Source organism: Homo sapiens, chromosome 7 (genome assembly GCF_000001405.40).
Source record: "Homo sapiens chromosome 7, GRCh38.p14 Primary Assembly".
Lineage (NCBI taxonomy): Eukaryota > Metazoa > Chordata > Mammalia > Primates > Hominidae > Homo > Homo sapiens.
In genome coordinates this window covers 96,932,205-96,945,037 of record NC_000007.14, presented here as the reverse complement: position 1 = coordinate 96,945,037, position 12,833 = coordinate 96,932,205, and the positions used below count along the sequence as shown (strand labels likewise).

General features: G+C 39.6%; 1 pseudogene, besides 1 other annotated feature; it reads left to right on the top strand.

The window, feature by feature from the left end:
* Positions 4,301 to 10,384: an enhancer, noted in NCBI's record as "enhancer fragment used in the reporter construct, including a 5,115 bp sequence and conserved flanking regions". NCBI's record gives its function as "activates a minimal beta-globin promoter in the inner ear and developing bones of E12.5 transgenic mouse embryos {active_cell/tissue: bone(E12.5) | inner ear(E12.25)}" and the evidence as "EXISTENCE:transgenic organism evidence [ECO:0001131][PMID:19707792]".
* RN7SL252P (RNA, 7SL, cytoplasmic 252, pseudogene) lies at positions 4,674 to 4,970 on the top strand (annotated as a pseudogene).

Below are 12,833 nucleotides of genomic sequence, written 5' to 3'. Positions count from 1 at the left end.
TAAGATTCAGTTTCTCAAACTATTGAAAGGATATAATAATATGCCCTGCTTAAGGCCGGGTGTGGTGGCTCATACCTGTAATCCCAGCACTTTGGCAGTCCAAGGAGGGAGGATTGCTTGAGGCCAGGGAGTTCAGGACCAGGCCTGGGCAACATAGTGAGACCTTGTCTTTAAGAAAAAAATTTAGCTGAGCGTAGTGGCACATGTCTGCAGTCCTAGCTAGTTGGAAGGCTGAGGCAGGAGGATAGTTTGTACCCAGGAGGTACAGTGGAGCTATGATCACACCACTGCACTCCAGCCTGGGTGATAGAGACTCTATCTCTAATAATTAATAATAATAATATACCTGGCTTAAAGAATTACTGTGAGGATCAAATAATAATTGGAAATTATGGAAATTAGCAGTTATCCTCCCCCCTCAGAATAATTATGGGACCATTGTGCATAAAATTAAGTGCATAAGAACAACACCAAATAGTAGGAATAAATGATTTTGTCGTCTCAAGCCTTTGAAAGCATTTCTGTTGAACTTTATTATAATAAAAAGAATAATTAGATACAAATGGACGGTTCTAGATGTTCACCATTTGTCTCCCTTTAATTGCCTAGAAAGAGAGTGGCTTCCTTACATTACAGATTAAATAGTATTTAAGAGTAGATTCATTCCCTAAACCTCAAGAAAAGCAGCAATTTTCTGTGGGAAGTTACTTTTGAGTCTGAACCAGTTTTAGATACACTGGCAAGGATCATAGAGCTTGAAAGAATGATAACTGGCTTTTGTAAGGTATCTATTTAAAGATTTATGGTCATTATTCAAACCAGTGAAAATAGAAGTTACATTAAAGGAAGAAGGATAGTTATCTTTCAGTGAAAAATTTAGTAGTTATGCTAAAATGAATCAAGGCTTTTCCCCCCACTCTAAGTAAGGCACCAACGATAGGAAAATAGCCATATAATATATGAAGAATTTAATTCTTAAAGCATTAAGTACTATCTTCCTATGAGAGAAACTTGTGTATATAATTTTATCAGAATATCAGACAATTATTCTTAAGGGTATGGTTATGACATTCTTTCTGTGATCATTTATAAAGTTATTCTTATTTTCATTCTTTCCCAATGATTGATCAGGAAATATTCATCCTTATTGATATACTGTCTAGATCTAAAATGTATTTTTGGTTTTAAAATGTATTCTGTGTTCAGTTGGACATAAGAGCAAACAAATGTTTATCTTGATTTAAAAATAGTTAATTATATGTAAAAAATAGGATATATATATGTGTGTATATATACATATGTCAAAATAGCTGAGGATATCTATATCTATATCTATCTATCTATCTATCTATCTATCTATCTATCTATCTATCTATCTGTCTATCTATCTATCTATCTATATATTTTTTGAGATGGATTCTGGCTCTGTCACCCAGGCTGCAGTGCAGTGGAGCAATCTTGGCTCACTGCAACCTCTGCCTCCTGGGTTTCTCCTGTGATTCTCCTGTCTCAGCCTCCCGAGTAGCTGGGATTGCAGGAATCCACCACCATGCCCGGCTAATTTTTTTATTTTTAGTAGAGACGGGGTTTCACCATGTTGGCCAGGCTGGTCTCGAACTCCTGACCTCGAGTGATCTGCCTGGCTCAGACTTCCAAAGTGCTGGGATTACAGGTGTGAGGTACCGTGCCTGGCCCAAATTGGATACTGACAAATCATTTCTTATGACAAGTTGAGAAGCCACATTAATGGCATATATATTCATAATATAAATATATGTGTTGGGCAGGAAGTTAATTCAAAGCAGTTGTCAAAATATCTGAGGAAATTACATTGGCTATTTATTTATATTTTGTTTATTTAACAATATTTATTGCTTATTACAAACATTGTTAATGTTTATGGGGCATATTTTACATACAATAAGCTTCTTCCATTTTAAGTGTACGATTCAGTATTTTAAAAGTAAGTTGATAGAGTTATGCAGCCATCATCACAACTGAATTTCATCCTGGATTGATGAAATATTGCTCCGGAGTTTAAGGTTGCTTAGACAGATCCTCAAGGATGTGCAGCCAAAATGAAAGCGTCCTCAAACAAGTTCATCATGCCCAGGTGGCATTACTAACTTTTGGCAGACAGTGGCAAAATCATGTGTTTACTATACATCTGCCTTCATGACTAGCCTCTGAGCTCTCTAGCAGGGAGAATGGCACACACCAATGATTTAGCAGATTTTCCTATAATATCAAAATCTGATATTTACCATCTGTGGATGGCAAATCTGGTACCAATACCAGTTCAAGTGCTTGGTTCCTCAGGCTATCTTTTGATTTACATTTCATGTTACAGCGCTAACATATCTCATATTAGAAGTGTTTATTTTATTTTATTTTATTCTATTCTAGTTTTTAGAGAGGGTCTTGCTCTGTCACCCAGGCTGGAGTGCAGTGCGTAATCATGGCTCACTGCTGCCTCAACCTCCTGGGCTCAAGCCATCCTTCCACCTCAGACTCCTGAGTAGTTAGGACTACAGGCGCAAGCTACCATGCCCAGATATTTTATTTTTTATTTTTTTGTAGAGATGGGGTTCTCCTGGGCTCAAGCAAACTTCCCACTTAGGCCTTCCAAAGTGTTAGGATTGCAGGTGTGAGAGCCTGGCCTAGAAGTGTGTTTGGTAAGTGTGTGAAATAGGTATAAAATTCCCACAACTTTGGGCTGCTGACTTAGCATTTTTCAGCAGCAGGTGCTTTCACCAGTAAACACGAAGGCAGTGATCTGAGAAGATGAGCACGGAACATTTCTGAATCCCAGGGCAGTGGCAATCTGTCAGTGCACTTGCTTCTCTGGAGCTGCTTCTGTCTAAGACTTACCCTGGAGCGCCACTGTTGTCTCAGTCAGTATCTCCACAGAGCAAGGGATATTTTGTAAATATCATACAAAAGTAGTAGTTGAAAATTGCTACTCCCAGGAAATAATCATTGTGCTTCCAAACAACCAGATGTTAAATACAGCATAGCAGTCACTGAAAGTGGCACGCTTCGCTCTGACAACAATAGCATTCAACTGGGGACAGATCTTCTGACCTTCTCTTTCAGGCTGCCAAAACGATTAATTGAAAAGTAAAAATGCAATCAATCAATTCACTCCTTTGATACATGATGGATTCTTCTTCCTCCCTACCCTATAAAACCAAACTCATTTAAACGGCTTTCCTTTTACAGTATTGGAAACCATTTTGGCAGTTTGTAGAGAGAGCTTCAGCGAAAATTTAAATCGGATGATGCACAGTAGTCCTCAGTGAAGCACAGCTGTAACGAGTCCAGGTATTCTCTTCACACAATGTCTGACAGATTTCCCAAACAAAGTAAAAAAGGCTGTTGGCAAAGAATCTCACCTGTCTGGGTCTTTTTTCAGAAGAGCGTCTTGGAAAAGGGGATGTGTTTGCAGTCTGTTGAAAAGAGGGACAAACGCTCCATGAAACACTAAATCATCTGGTCCCCTTCAGAATATTAAATCTTAACTTCTATAGACAAAAGACAGAACCTATACTCAGAGTTTATAAAGTTAATTTGACTCTGAGCTGGAGTAAGCAAGGATATTACCCCATTAACCTTGGGCAGACAAGCCGGCTTGTATCATGGTCTGGAATCTTGCCCTTACAATCCACAATTGCTGTGTATTACATGATCACTTGCCTGCTAACAATTCCTCCCAAGTGGTAGGATGGCTTTTTTTTTTCTGCTCATAATAATACCCCATTTTCCCTGGGGGCACAGGTGTTATTCAAAGAAGGCTGTACTATAAGATTTTTGTTCCAAAGTTTTCCTGGCCAAATGGCTACCACTTACTACATCACCTCTATATCCCTACTAATGTTTTCTGGCCCAAGCAGGAATACGTAAAGGAAAACTAGAAGGAGACATTGGGCTTCTAACACTGTAGTAGAGTGGGCAAATCAAAGGCTAAAAGTCATGTAAATAAGGTTTTTCATTTATGAGAATGATAAGAATTTTGGTCAACTCAAGATGGAATCCTCTTAATTTGGGCATCTAAAATTTCTGCATCACAAAAAAAGCCTGTGGTGTTATGCTGGCTGGCTAGGTTGAAACAGAACAATAAATAGTTGAGGTGAACTCATAAACCTTAGAAACTTAGATTATATTTGCAGCATAGATGGTGAAACATGGAATATTTCTTTTTAGTTCCTATTGCATAACAGTCTATGACACAAAGATGGAGTTTGGAATGCATTTAGATATCTAATACAGCTGTATTGTATATATTGTGTGTTTTTTTAAATTAGGCTGTGGCTGTGTGAAAACAAGGACTGTATCTTGGGCATTTTCAAATCTCCAGCTTCTAGCCCAGGTGCTCAGTAGGTATTTTGTGAATGAATGAATGAATGAATCATAGTATTGTGAAGAGATTGTAGACATGGGAGGGATGCATCTTGAATAACATGGTGTTAAACTTAACCAAAGTTCCAGTGGTGGGCATTTCCTTCAGTCCAGATCATCAGGTGAAAAATAATTCACCCACCAATTCTGGCTAACTTAAGCCTTCAGACAGCCATCATGTGTTTGTCTTCCTTTAAGGGACCTGGATCATATATAATGTAAGGTCACCCTTAACAGATATTAATGTAAAATCAAATTAGTTAAAATTATTTTCATCTGGGTGTGGTGGCACATGCCTGCAGCCCCAGCCACTCTGGAGGCTGAGGCGGGAGTGTTGTTTGAGCCCAGGAATTCTGGGCTGTACTGCACTATGCCAATAGGGTATCCACACTAAGTATGGCATCAGTATGATGACTTCCCTGGAACAGAGGACTATAAGTTTCCTAAAGAGGGGTGAAGCAGCCCAGGATGGAAACAGAGCAGGTCAAAACTCCCATGCTAATCAAATGTGGAATTATGCCTGTGAATAGCCACTGCACTCAGTCTGGGTGACATAGTGAGACCCCATATCTTAAATAAAAAGTAAAGAAAAAAAGTATGTTCAGAAATATATTTCTCATTTTCACAATCAGCACTGAAAGCTGGAAACCCTATCAGTGGTACCTCCTTTTCGGTGAGTCTTTTAAATATATCGGTGACTGAATTTCCTGTCCATCTCAGACTAACACCCATAACAGTACTTGTTAGGTGCCACCACCTTTAACAGAAAGATCACATCAATTTATGTATGTCCAGCTAACAATAAAACCAGAGGTTCACATTTCTATAAGAGAAATTATTTGTGAGTAATTAGTTAATGACTCTTCTTAGTTATTAAGGCATCTTTTAAGGAGAAGTGAAGTTATTTTACCTGATTAATATACTAGATAATACTACTCACTCTCACTTGTTTATATTATCGTAGTGATTTGAGATTATTGGATTCTAGAGAACTTTACATTTTATATAACCTGACTTCTACTGGATTTGTGTTTAATGGGTACACATTGTACTTATCCTGTACTTAATTTATACTTAATTTCCTATACTGATTGTACTTATTCTGTACTTAATTTATTGTATTTCTTACCCAAAGGAACTCAGAATGGCATGTCAGATATTTTATTAATCCTCATTACATTTCAATAAAGTGGCAAACATTGCGATGTTAATTATGGCTTTAGGTACTGAAGGCAAAAAGAAGTTAGATTATTTGTCATAGGTCAGTCAGGTCAGGTATTCATTCATTCAACACTCAAAAACCATTTCTGATATATGCCCAGTACACATCAGAGTAGGAAAAAGTAGAAAAAGAAAACAGAACAGAAAACATGCTTCAAGTTCCTGGGCCCTCTTTCTCTAGCAATATTCATGTGATGAATATTTATAACTTTACTAGTTAGGATAATGCTAGTTGTATTAGTGAGGGCAATGCTAACTGTTCTAAGTAGGTACTAAAATGCATAAGGCCTTACACACAATATAAGTTTCTTTTTTTTTTTTTTTGAGATGGAGTCTCTCTCTGTCACCAGGCTGGAGTGCAGTGGTGCGATCTCAGCTCACTGCAACGTCTGCCTCCCGGTTTCAAGCGATTCTCCTGCTTCAGCGTCCCAAGTAGCTGGGACTACAGGTGCGTGCCACCACACCCAGCTAATTTTTTGTATTTTTAGTAGAGACGGGGTTTCACCGTGTTAGCCGGGATGGTCTTGATCTCCTGACCTCGTGATCCGCCTGCCTCGGCCTCCCAAAGTGTTAGGATTACTGGCGTGAGCCACCACGCCCGGCCCATGTTTATTTCTTACCTGTAAAATGTCTTGAGTCATTTAAGGGGGCGTGGGAAGGAGGGGATGTACCAGTCATTCAGGGATGCAGGCTGGTGGAGGCTCTGCAGTCTTCAGCATTTAGCTTCCAAGGTCACTATGATTATCTCTGTTTGGTGGCTGGAGGAAGATAGAGTAGTGGAGAAAGTTTGGGAAGCTCTATGAGCTGAGTCTGGATGTGGCACCCATCACTTCTCCTATCCCATTGGCTAGAACTCAGGCTTACAGCATTGCTAAGGTGCAGGGGGGCTTAGAAAATTACAGTCCTGGCTGAACAACTTACTTTACCCAACTTTGTGCCATAAACAGGAAACAGTTTTGGCAACTGTTAACTGTCACTGCCTGATAGCCTAAGTCGTAGTTAGGCTTCTCTGATCTTATCCTTTAGAGGTTTTAACTTGTCCTGTCCTCTCGTACTGAGGTCATCAAGGCAATGATTTGATGTCAGAGAAACCTGGGCTCTGTTGAACAACAGTAGCCACACTGAGTGTCACGGTATGCATGTGTTTGCTCCTTGATCAATTTCTGTTGTTTAAGTCTGACTTTTCTTAGGCCTTTAGCTGATGCTAATTTAATGCCTAGGTCTATGTAACTGGGATTCAAACTCACTCCAGTGATTCTGCGGAATTCCTAGGGCATTGCCACCAACTCCACACTGGCTTGTATCCCTGTCTGTGTTGTGCTGGTGGGCCCAGTGGTGTTTGTTGTACATTGTTTAAAATCTTTTATAAAATAGCTGTCTCTTCTGTAATGCATAATCATCTTCTACTGTTTGCTGTTTATTGTTGGAAAGTCTCCTGGGAGCTGGAAAATAATAGTTCTTCATTTTGAAAAATAATTTTTTTTCTACTTTGAGCTCTGTTTCTTCTTCTTTCATATTATATCTTCTGAGGGCTGGAAGTTACCTTGAATGTGCCTAAAGCATCTGCTTTGATGATACCAATGAGCCAAAAAGGAGTTTTGCCAGGATGTTGAGTGGCTAGATAAATATGTTACGGAAGAAAAACTCACCGCTGTGGAAGATGTCAATAACAATGGCTAATAAATTGAATGTGTGTCAATTTGAATGGGACACAAAGTGCCCAGATTAAACATTATTTCTGAATATGTCCATGAGGGTGTTCCTGGATAAGATTAGTATTTGAATCAGTGGACTCAGTATAGTAGATTGCCCTCACCCATGTAGGTGGACATCATCCAATGGACTGAGGATTGGAATAGAACAAAAAATGGAAAAAAGAGGAATGTGCTCCTTTCCACCCTGCCTTACTGTTTGAGCTGCTCCTCCGCTTGAACTGAGACTTATACCACAGGCTCCCCCAGCTCCCAGGCCTTCAGATTCGGACTGAATTACACCACAAACACCACCACCTGCTTTCTTGGGTCTCCAACTTGCAGACGGCAGATAGGACTTCCTAGCCTCCATAGTCATGTGAGCCAATTCCGCATAATAAATATTTCTGTCTCCCTCTCTCTTTACATACATCTTATTGGTTCTGTTTCTCTGAAGATCCATGACTAATACACCAGACAAGATGCTGAGCTTTCTATAGACATAATTTCATTTAATTTCCATAACCTTTGGAGGTTGATATGTTATTCCTATTTTATACATATTGAACCTGAGGTAGAGCAGGGTTGAGTAACTTGTCTAGACTGCAGCAGAAATAAGTGGCAGTGCTGTGAATGAAACCAGTATTTGTTTAACTCCAGGTGTGTATTTGCCATCATTTCAGTGTCCTGGCAATGGATTTACATCCTCAAAGTTTCTATTTTCCATAGGCTGTCCATATATACCTTCTACATATCCCATTAGTGCTCTGGGCAAATAAATGGTGCACTAAATAAAAATAGATATTTCAAGACATTTTTCTTGATTGTCTTGTTCCTCCCATTAAATTATATGCACTGGGGAAGGAGCAGGCTTCTTAGAATCCAGAGTATGTTTCTCACCAGATGAACCACGATTTGCAGCTTCAACTGCAGTACTTGACAGCATTGCTTAATAAAAAGATTCAAATCCACCTACAACTTTATACTCAAGAACAGATTATGCCAACCTTTAAAGGCAAATAGTATGAGAAAAATGATAAGGTAACCATTCCCTGGTGTATATTGATCAAATGTGAGCATTATGGTTTCATTACGTGTGTTAACTTAGATTGGGATTAACTCAAGTTAGGTTTAATTTGGTACCACTGACAAAAAAAATCCAGGAATATGAATGGGAAGAATAAATGACACACACCAGCCACAATTTTAAGCCTTGACATACCTTAAAGATATTTTAACTTATTTTAATTTACATAATATAGTATCCATCTGGAATCAGAGGGCTCTGACACTGTGTGTGACTCTCGGAAAGTTGTCATCCTTTCTAAGCCTCAGTTTACTCATATTTAAAATGCGAATAATAATAGTGTCTACCTCATAGGGTTGTTGTGAAGATTAAATGAGATAATGTAAACGAAGCACTTGGGGATCAGCAAGCAATAGTAAGCACTTATCAGTCTGCTTGGGCTATCATAATAACAGAATATCACAGACTGGGTGGCTTAAATAACAGAATGTAATTTTATCACCATTCTGGAGACTAGAAGTCCAAGATCAAGGTGCTGTTGGGGTGGGTTTCTGGCAAGGCTTCTCCTCCTGGCTTGAAGATGGCTGTCTTCTTGTTGTGTTCTCACATGGCCTTTCCTCTCTGTGTGCCTGGAGAGAGAGCGAGCTCTCCAGTATCTCTTCTTCTTCTTATAAGGACACCAGTCCCATTGGATAAAGGCTCTACCCTTATGACCTCTCTTAACCTTTATTACCTTCTTACAGACCCTCTCTCCAAATACAGTCACATTTGGGTTTAGGGCTTCAACATATGAATTTGAGGGAGGAGGGGGACAAAATTTAGAAGATAATGATGCTCAAAAACAGTAAATTTAAAAGTTATTTCATTGTATTGCATATCCACTCAGTACACTGCTTTATCTTATGTGGGTATAAGACCTTGTAAATGTTTTCAAAGTTAAGCTCAATTGAGATTCCTTGAGGGAATCTCCAGAGCAAAAGTAGCTTAGGTATTGAGTGGAGTTCCTCGTGGAGGGTGATAGTAATTTAATTCCTAGAGACATGTGGTAGTGGTGTGTATGTGGAGAGAGGGAATGTTATCCAGAGAGCACACTGCAAATAGAAGTAGCTTAAGTCTGGAAAATGCTCATTAGAATCAAAACGTTAAGACATCTGGCATAATTAAGGCTCTTTAAAAAAAAACTAATGCTTCTTTCGTTTTCTTTCACTATTTTTCCACTAATTAAAATTGAGTCAAGACTGTGAGTGTCCACTTTGGCTGAAATGGAAATGTGGAGTCCATGTTCAGCGAAATGCAATTTTTTTTTTTTTTTTTTTGCATTTTGTACACTGCCGTCTACTTTCTGCCTCATCCCATTCCAAGCATCTGACAGGTGTTAAGAGTTCCTATTGAAGAATTAAACATCTATTTTAAAGTTCAATGCCTGAGTTACTCGTTTGAATTCTGGCATTTGGGGATAATTTTGCTGACCACCAAAGATTGACCACACAGAGCAATTGTTAGCAAGACAACAGGCTTTGTCTTCTTAGTCTAAGCAATTGTGAAAGTAACTCCCAATCTTAAAAGAGCTCTTTCCAAGGATTGGAAGTAACAAGCTGTCTAAGAGGGGTAAGGGCGGGGGTGGGGTGGTGGGGGGCTGCAGATCTGTACTACTGGACAGAGCCACCTGCGTTTCCAGAATAACTTTGAAAGGGGTTTTTTCCCCCCTTATTTTGGCAGGACATTAGTCATCATACTAAAGATCTGGTATTTACCAGATCCTTTTAAACAAATAATCTGGAAGCAACAGGAGGAAATCTGTAATAACTTATAATAAGCTCCTAATTTAGGACTGTTTAGATTTTTGACAGTATGCCTGAAATGAACGATGTTTATATGAAGTTCAAGACTTCTACAAGCAAATCTGCTCTCCCGAAGGTGATGGCTTGCTCCCAACACTCAGAAACTAAGACCCCGGATTTCATGTCATGTTCTAAGAACAGAATCGTGACAGTAGGTCTATTTTTATAGAGGGCTTATGGGGAAAAGACCACTCTGGGGAAAATGACTCTTCTCCCCAAAGCTAATATTTCTGTTACACTGGCTTTAAGACAAGTGAATCCAGATCTATGCTGAGAGTTTGGATAAAACAATGAGTAGAAAATCTGACCCCTAATTTTAGTAGCATATTAATGAATTAAGATGGCACGACCTGACTGAAGGCATCAAGACCACACAATAGAGTGCTGTGCCGTGTGAATGCAGAACTTACTTCAAGTGCTTTATCAAGCCAGAAAGGCAAAGATCACTGTGGACTGAAATGGAAAAGGTGAACTTCAGCTAAGTTTTTCATTCATTCAACAAATATTTATCAACTACCTTCTATATACTGGTCATTGAGCTGAATGGAGTATAGTAATAAAGAAGATATGGTTTCTAATCTAAAAAAGCTTGTGTTCACATGAGGGAGAGAGACATTAAACAATTAAAAACAGTTACAGATTAGGAAAAGGGCAATGAGGGAAATAAAAAATGTACAGACTACAAAAGAGAGGCAAGCAATACTTTAGACAGTGTGGCCAGGAAGAGTCTCTATTAGGAGGTGACATTTTAGCTCCTATTGGATGACAGGAAAGATCCAGCCGTAAAGGCATTCAGGGAAAGAGCACTGTTACATAGAAAACCACCCATGTGAAGGGCAAATGTAATGAAGCCACAGGTGACTGAGCAGACAGAGAGTTCCAGGAGACCACCCAGGATGACTGATGCTGAGGGGATGGTGGGGGTGTGTGGGGATGGGAGTAGGGTAGAGAAGGGGTGATTTTTAAGGTACTGATATACCTTTTCCTGTAGAGGCAGGCTAAGTAACATGCTCAGAGCTTCTTGAAGCACAACAAATATAGTGAAACCAAAAGCTGGGAAAGCTGGCCGTGGCCATCACCTGATCATTCACAGAGCACCTTCAGACCTGGGAATCCAGGTCTCTATTCTTCTTTGTTCCTTCCAAAGAGTTTTCATCTTTCCCATCTCTAGAAGAAGAGGAGACAATTTACTGTTACAAGGTTTGCTTATCATTAAAACGTAAAATATGCCTTCCTAAGACAGTGAATATCTGTGTGTGCGCACGTATGTGTGTGATGATCTTGCATCTCTGAAGTCTGACTTGGGGTGGGCCCCAGCTTCCTTCCCTTGCCTCCTGCCATTAGCCTATGTGTCAGTTGAGATCTGCCAGAGCCTCTCTTTAATGGTTCCCAGGGCTGTGCTTGGGGCCTTGAAGCCAGGGCAGATTTTTCCATAGGGGCTCATCGCTGGAAGTCCTTTCTCTTGCTGCTCTGTGAAAGTATGACTTTGTTTTAGTGTTTCTGGCTCCCATTCTTTGGAAACCATTGTGAAGGGCTTTCATCATAGCACTCAGTGCTGGCCCACCCAACTCGGCATTGCATCAGCGGAATTTCTGCCCCTGAATCAAGGGTGGTGTATTATTTCAGATAGGTCATTAATGGAAAGATTCCGTAGTTCCCCTCATGGTGCCTATCTTGGGCAGAATGTCACGTTGGTCTGTGTTTATTTGTAAACAGCCTCAGGCTCTGACGTAAAAGAAAGCCTTGTGCCCATTAGACTGTGCAGGATCAGGCCCACATATCCTCCACAGCTTACCCTGGAAAGATATCTTGGTACATTTTTCTGCACGGACCATAATCTCTGTTTGTGGACAAATTGCTTCTCAGACTTCCTTCCTACAAGTCAATGTGCATCTCAGAAAAGAACACATTGTTGTTTTGCTTTTTCCTAAATAAAGAAAAGCAAAAATAAAATAAAAGACATGTCAAATCTTTATAAAAAATAACTCCTTCATGATAAAATATTTAGAAAATAAGCCCTAAAGATGAGAAGAGGTAAATCATCTGATCTCTCTCACTCACAAAAAGGGGACATGCTAATGTTATCATGGCAGTAGACACAAATATAAACTTTCTCATTGATATTCAAAAGGATAAACATGAACACCAAATTCCAACTGTGAAAAATCTAAAATATAGCCATGTATAGTCGATATTTCAGGAAGGCCATCTTTCTTTTTTTTTTTTTCTTTCTTTCTTTTTTTTTTTTTTTTTTGAGACAGTCTTGCTCTGTTGCCCAGTCTGGAGTGCAGTGGCGCCGTCTCGGCTCACTGCAACCTCCGCCTTCCTGGTTCAAGCAATTCTCTGCCTCAGCCTCCTGGGTAGCTGGGATTACAGGTGCGTGCCACCACGCCCAGCTAATTTTTTTGTATTTTTAGTAGAGACGGGGTTTCACCATGTTGGCTAGGCTGGTCTTGAACTCCTGACCTTGTGATCTACCCACCTCGGCATCCCAATGTGCTGGGATTACAGGCGTGAGCCACCAGGCCTGGCCCATCTTTCTTGTCTCTATGCTTGGAAACAAAAAATAGTTTTGATGAAAATTAAGTTTATTATATTTTGATTATATTGTTAGGGATATAGCTTCTCTACAAATATTTACTTCTCTCAGTGCCT